Source organism: Homo sapiens, chromosome 5, assembly GCF_000001405.40.
Source record: "Homo sapiens chromosome 5, GRCh38.p14 Primary Assembly".
NCBI lineage: Eukaryota > Metazoa > Chordata > Mammalia > Primates > Hominidae > Homo > Homo sapiens.
The window spans coordinates 149654819-149662005 of NC_000005.10; the positions used below are offsets into that span (position 1 = coordinate 149654819).

The window sequence follows — 7187 nt, forward strand, 5'->3', positions numbered from 1 at the left end:
ACACCACACACCACACACACGCCACACACCACACACACACCACACACACACCACACACCACACACACCACACACCTCACACACACACACCACACCACACACACCACACACCACACACACACACCACACGCACACCACACACACCACGCACACCACACACACCACACACACCACACACCACACCACACACACACCACACACCGCACACACACACTGCACACACACACCTGCACACACACCACACACATACCACACACACCACACACCACACACACACCACACACCACACACACACCTCACACACACACCACACACACCACACACACACCTCACACACACCACACACACCTCACACACACCACACACACCACACACACACCTCACACACACACCACACACACACCACACACACCTCACACACACCGCACACACCTCACACACACCACACACACACCACACACACACCTCACACACACACCACACACACACACCACACACACACACAAACCACACACCACACACACACCACACACACACCACACACACCACACACCCCACACACACCAACCACACACACCCCCCACACACACACCACACACACCACACATGCACACCACCACACACCACACCACACACCACACACACACCACACACACCACACACACCCCACACACACACCACACACACCACACACACCACACACCACGCCACACACACCCCCCCACACACACCACACACACCACACATACACACCACACCACACACCACACACACCACACACCACACACACACCACACACACCCCACACACACCACACACCACACACACACATCCCACACACTCCACACACACACCATACTCCCATACACACACACCACACCCCACACACACACCACACATGCACACCACACCACACACACACACACCACACCACACACACACACACCACACCACACACACACCACACACCCAGAAAGAGATCCTTTAAGAGCTGTTTTTTTCTGGCCCGGAACCGTATTTCATTCTCCAACTCTGCAGACACAGAAAAGGCATTATTGCAGTAAAAAGTCTCCCCACATTATTTATTGTTAATACTTACCTACTTTGTCCTCTCTAGGTTTTTACAGCCTTAACTTCATTCAAAGCAGGCCCCTGGTGTGGGCAATGCAGAGGTTCTTTGCCTGAGGAGGGATGAGGAGCTCAGAGAGCTCCAGCAACTTGCTCAAGATTGCGCAGCAGGTTAATGGCCAAGTTGGGACCAAGGATCAAGACTACCGACTTCCAGTGCAGTGGGAGTCTCCTACAAACCATGTCCAGGATCAAAGCAGACGCTGAAGGGCAGAGGTTTTGTTTACCCTCTTCCCTTCAATTACTGAGTCCCTAAACTCCCTCTTTAATAAGGAAGTAACAGTGACCTAGTATATTTGAACTTGAGCAAGGCAGTGGACAAGCAGGTGCATGATATTCCCATGGTCAAGCATGATGGAAAACTGTGAGATGGATTCAAGGGCCGTCAGTAGAAGACTGGCACCCAAACAATTTTGGTGAATCGGTTTCCACATAGAAGGATGCTTTGCCCCATGATTTTTTATTCCTAAAATTTAATGACTTGAGCGTCTCTCCCACCTCTTCTTTATTTTAATTATTATTATTTATTTATTAGAGATGTGAGGCTTACTATGTTGCCCAGGTTCATCTTGAACTCCTGGCCTCAAGTGGTCCTCCCGCCTCAGCCTCCCACCACAGCCTCCTGAGTTGGTGGGATTACAGGCTTGACCTGCCACATCTGGCCCACCTTTTCTGAAAACGACTCTCTTCCCTAGTTGAGACCCTCCCTCTTAGGTTGTCTAGGATAGTTACTTACTTAGTCCAAAGGGGCACTGCTAGTTCCCATATCCTGAAGGACAAAAACCTAGGAAGCCTCATTAGGTGCCCTGCAGTTTCTGGCACTGCCACATGAGGGCACTGTTGAAAAGAAGCTACTCTGTTGCCTAGAGGCAGTCCCCTGAGACCATGTCTGTAAGCGCCTGGAAGATAACACCTGCAGGCCCAGGCCCAGGTGCAGTCTATACTCCCCACTATAGAAACCCGCTTTATTGATCCAGGCATGCTCCATTTGGCTGGTTCTCCATTTGTTACTCCGGGGGCTTTGGGAAAGGGAAAAGACATCTCCCACATAGCTATGGTCACTCCATTACACACTGAACATCTAGTGTTACAGCTCTTTTATTTATATACACGCTCAAACACAATTGTTTACACATTTACCAACAGTGCGCTAGGGTAGCTAGGTTGGGACCAGTTTCCAGGCTCAGTTACAAACTCTTCCTAGAAGCAGCAGCCTCCCAAGCTCTTGCTCTTTCTAGGCTGCACTAGTGGGCAGTTCTTGGTTTGGGACTGTACAGGACCGTTCCTCCTCCAGTAAACACCCCAGTTCCATTAAGGGAAAGTGTCTCCTCTCCCCACTGCCTTGGGAAAGGGGTCATTCTTGGCTCCTGCCTCCCACCGCTAGCCTCCTCCAATTGAAGGCAAAGGAGTCAGATCCTTCCTCTCCTCACCTTCTGGGCAAATCAGTGGGAAATGCATTATTTAAGATGCTATTTCCCAGGACTTTGACTATGCAAGGAGAGGGGAATGGTTTCTGGCCATTGTCTTTGTAGCAATAGCAGTTGTGGAGGGGCCATTTACAGCATCCTGACCTATGTCCCTGTTCAAGGCAGTGACTGCTTTTCCTGCTTCCTGCTTCTTGGCCCTTCAGAGTTTCCTTAATTTCTGCTAACCTGCGTCTGCTCTTCTAGTCTTTCAACAATTTTGTAAATTTCCATTGGTCTTCAAACAAAAACAATACCCCTTCTCTTTAGTTTCTGGTGCTTGCAGAACCCTGTCTGACAAACCCCAGAGAATCAAAGAAGTCTCTTCCTTTCTCACCTTTAAGATGTACATTTTGGGCTGGCCGTGGTGGCTCATGCTTGTAATCCCAGCACTTTGGGAGGCCAAGGCAGGCGGATTACTTGAGGTCAGGAGTTCAAGACCAGCCTGGCCAACATGGTGAAACCCATCTCTACTAAAAATACAAAACTTAGCTGGGCGTGGTGGTGCGCCTGTAATCCCAGCTACTCAGGAGGCTGAGGCAGGAGAATCGCTTGAACCTGGGAGGTGGAGGTTGCAGTGAGTGGAGATTGTGCCACTGCACTGGAGCCTGGGTGACAGAGTGAGAGACTGTGTCTCAAAAAACAAAAAACAATGTGACCCAATTCATTCTTCAGGAGGGTAGTTTGGGTCCCTTGCCCAAGGCAAATCTACACAGAGAGAGAGAGAGAGGGAATATGCAAAACTCCAAAATGTTAGCAGTGTTAGCCAGGGTGCTGAGATTATTGGAGTGTTTCATTTTCCCTTTTTGTTCATCTGTGTCCCTTGAAAATTTTTTTTGCCATGTCTATACACTCCATTGATGATTAAGAGTAACAACATATATGAGTGTGTTTCTTTAATTGTAATTAGAGAAACTGAGGCATTGAGAAAAGGTCAATAAGACCCTTTTTCATGCTAAAGAAGTGAGCCCCTGTCCCTGCAGGGACTGTCCTTGAGAAGGAGACTTGACTGGTATTCTGGCACTGCCTCTGCTGTTATCACCCCTCTGGTATGGGTGTATTTATTGACAGAGCCAGGGCTGATATCACAGTTGGCTTTGTTGTATGCATGACTCCAGGCAAGTCCTTGCCTCTCTTGGGCCCTGGGTCTTCCCATATAAACAAGGAGGGGATGGGACTAAGTGACCTTTCAGAGTTCTGCTGCTCAGTTCTGGGGCCTTGTTGAAGGTCATTGCCTGATGGAAGCAGCATCCAGGGGAGAAGCTGGAATCGCAGTCTCTGGGTGAAAAGGCGCTGGAGATGTCCCACATTGTCAGCGATCTCTGAGCTGCATATGAGAAAAATCCACCTCCAACTGGCTTAAGTAAAGAAGGAATGTGTTGGCTCATGCACCTGAAAAATTTAGATCTAGACTCAGGCTTGGCTGGATCCTGGGAATAAAAGGCTGTCATCAAAACTCGGTCTCTCTTAGTCTCTTCTGTTTTCCTTTGCCTGTTTTGCCTTCAGGCAGGCTCTTCCTAGACAAAGGCAGCGTGGCCACCAGCAGCGTCAGGTTCACACCTTGCCACCTTAACACCTTTTCCCAAGGGCTCCAGCAGAAGTCCCAGTGTTGACTGTCACTGGACTATATGAAGTGACATGCCCATCGCTGACCTGGTCACTCAGTGGAGCCAGGGTATAGATTGTATTGATTGGCCAGACCTAGCCCATGTGTCTGTCTCTGAAGTTAGGAGGTGGGTGAGTGTCATTTATATGTTTCGGTCTAAGGGTTAAGGAGGGGCAGTTCTCCAAAGGCACATCAGGAGCTGCTACCAGCTGGGGACAGGATGTTGGGAAGGAAAGAGCCCATAGAGGTCCACTCAGGTTCATGTCCATCTGTGTCAGTGAAGTGTGCTCCCCAGATTGGCAGCAGCCTCATCACTATCATCATATGGGAGCTTGTTAGAAATGCAAATTCACAGGTCAAGCCCTACAGGCAATTCTGATGCATGCTAAAGTTTGAAACCAGTGGATCTTGCCCCTGCTTCCATCAGAATCACCTGGGTTGAGAGTGGGCCCTACTCTCTCAACGAATTTTATCAGGAAAAGGGAGGGGACCAGTTCCAGTCATTAGTGTTTTTTGTTTGGTTTTTTGTTTTTGTTTTTGTTTTTGTTTTTGTTTTTTGAGACAAAGTCTCCCTCTATCGCCCAGGCTGGAGTACAGTGGTGCAATCATAGCTCAAACTCCTGGGCTCAAGCGATCCTCCCCCCTCAGCGTCCTGAGTAGCTGGGACCACAGGTGCATGCCACCATGCCAGGCTAATTTTTTTATTTTTTAATTTTGTAGACTACCTGGGCTAGTCTCAAACTCCTGCTTCAAGCAATCCTCCTGCCTGGCCTCCTAAGGCATTGGGATTACAGGCGTGAGCCAACACGCTGACCTGATGCTTTTAAAAATGTTGCCCCAAGTGATTCTAATGGAAGCCCAGCTTGAAAGAACAACTGAGCTCAACCAAACTCTTGTTCTCAACTATTTCTAACTTATGAAGTGGCGATAAACAAGGAAGTGGATGGTCCCTCTGCTGAGAACGACGGTTTATTAAAGGAACGACTTGGAAGATAGCAACTCAAGCCAAGGCAAATGAAGAGACAAAGCCAGGGACATATAATCCACTGAACTTTGTGGAATTTGAACCTGGAATTTCCTACCTTATGGCAAATCAATCTTTATACCCACACAGCTGATTCAGCCAAGAGGAGGAGAACTAGAGGAAAAAAATAATAGCCATGACTGAGTGCTTACTGCAAGTATATATCAGACAAAGTATTTATCTTATTTAAACCCACATGACCCTGTGAGGTAGGTAATCTTAAATAGGGATATAATCCTGTGAAGTAGGTAATATTAAATATCAAAGAGGAAGACAATGAGGATCAGAGGGTACATTAAATAGACCCTGGTGGCTGAGCTAGGATTTGAATCCTGGGCTGTTTTGAAAACCTTTATTCCTGCTCCATGTTGCCTTCTGGGAAAAGTCATGCTCTCTAGTTAGGAGTAGAGGGGCTTGCGGAGGAGTTTAGAGGTGACTCCTCTGATTCCACACATTTTTTGTTTGTTTGTTTTTGGAGACGGAGTCTCGCTCTGTCGCCCAGGCTGGAGTGCAGTGGCCCAATCTCGGCTCACTGCAAGCTCCACCTCCTGGGTTCACACCATTCTCCTGCCTCAGCCTCCTGAGTAGCTGGGACTACAGGCGCCCGCCACCACGCCTGGCTAATTTTTTGTATTTTTAGTAGAGATGGGGTTTCACCATACTAGCCAGGATGGTCTCAATCTCCTGACCTCGTGATCCACCCACCTCGGCCTCCCAAAGTGGTGGGGTTACAGGTGTGAGCCACCACGTCCAGCCTCCACACATTTTAAAGAAAGAGCACTAGCCTGAGATCAGAACCTGGGCTGCACTCACAGCCCCACTCCTACTTAGTTACATGACCTGGAACAGGTCATTTCTCTAGCTGGGGCCTCCCTAGCTGGGATCTCAGTCTTCCTTTCCGTACAACGGAAGGGCTTTAATTGACCCCTAAGGTCTTTTTCATTTCTGGATCATCCATTTGGATAATGCTATCAGGAAGTTTCCAGCAGTTCTGCTTTCTGGGATCCTAGGACCCAGAAATAGGTCCTGGGATCCTAGGACCTATTTTGAAATACTATTATGGTCCATCCTGACCAGGTGTCATAGTCAGTCTGCTGATTACTAAAGAATTACTCCCTAGACCAGTCGAGGGTTCCTAATTTTTTTTTCAAGGCTTAAAAGACCATACAGCTCAGACAGAAGGTCTAACAGTTGCAATTAAATCTTGGAGGACTAACAAGACACTGCAGAATTTTGTAGAGTCTCAGACCATATTTTCATCAGATAGGCTGCAAAAATCACAGTGCCCTGACTCCATCAATATTGATCAGTGCCTACTACATTCAGCTTTGTGCTGGGGACCATGGAAGACACGGAAGTGAAGGGGCAACACCCTAGTGCCAAGGAGGAGTGCCATGGGTGGGGGCATGGCCCCGTACTCAGCCTCACATTGATCAGGGAAATGCAAATTAAGACAAAATACTTTTTGCCACCAATGAAAGGGTTAATATCCGGGGCTGGCATAGATGTAGTGAAATGAGCACTTTCATACACTACTGGTAGAGTGTAAACTGGCACAGCTTTTTCAGAGGATAGATTATAAACCCCCCCTAAATTTTTAAGTACATAACTCTTTAATTCAGCAATTCCACTTCTAAGACTATCTTCAAGAAATGCTTGCTCTATTCACAAGGAAGCAAAACAAGAATGTTCATTGGTGTGTTGTGTGTTGTATGTATTTTTTGGAGATAGCCAAGATAGCATTCATTAGGGAATGGCTAAACTGGGCTATATTCATGCTCTGGCACTTTGCAGCATTTAACAAGCACAAAGAAGATCCCCATATAATGACACAAACAAATTTCCAAGATATATACATTTTAAAAAGCAACTCTCAGAACTCTCAGAAGAACTCTTAGGTCAGGCACGGTGACCCACACCTGTAATCCTAGCACTTTGGGAGGCCGAGGCGGGCGGATTGCTCCTGA

The 7187-nt window shown here is 47.7% G+C and overlaps 1 annotated feature.

The window, feature by feature from the left end:
- Positions 1361–1530: an enhancer, noted in NCBI's record as "experimental_82262 CRE fragment used in MPRA reporter constructs". NCBI's record gives its function as "activates a minimal promoter by MPRAs in K562 erythroleukemia cells, with activity observed for both the introgressed and non-introgressed 5:149035827 variant alleles {active_cell/tissue: K562}" and the evidence as "EXISTENCE:reporter gene assay evidence [ECO:0000049][PMID:34662402]".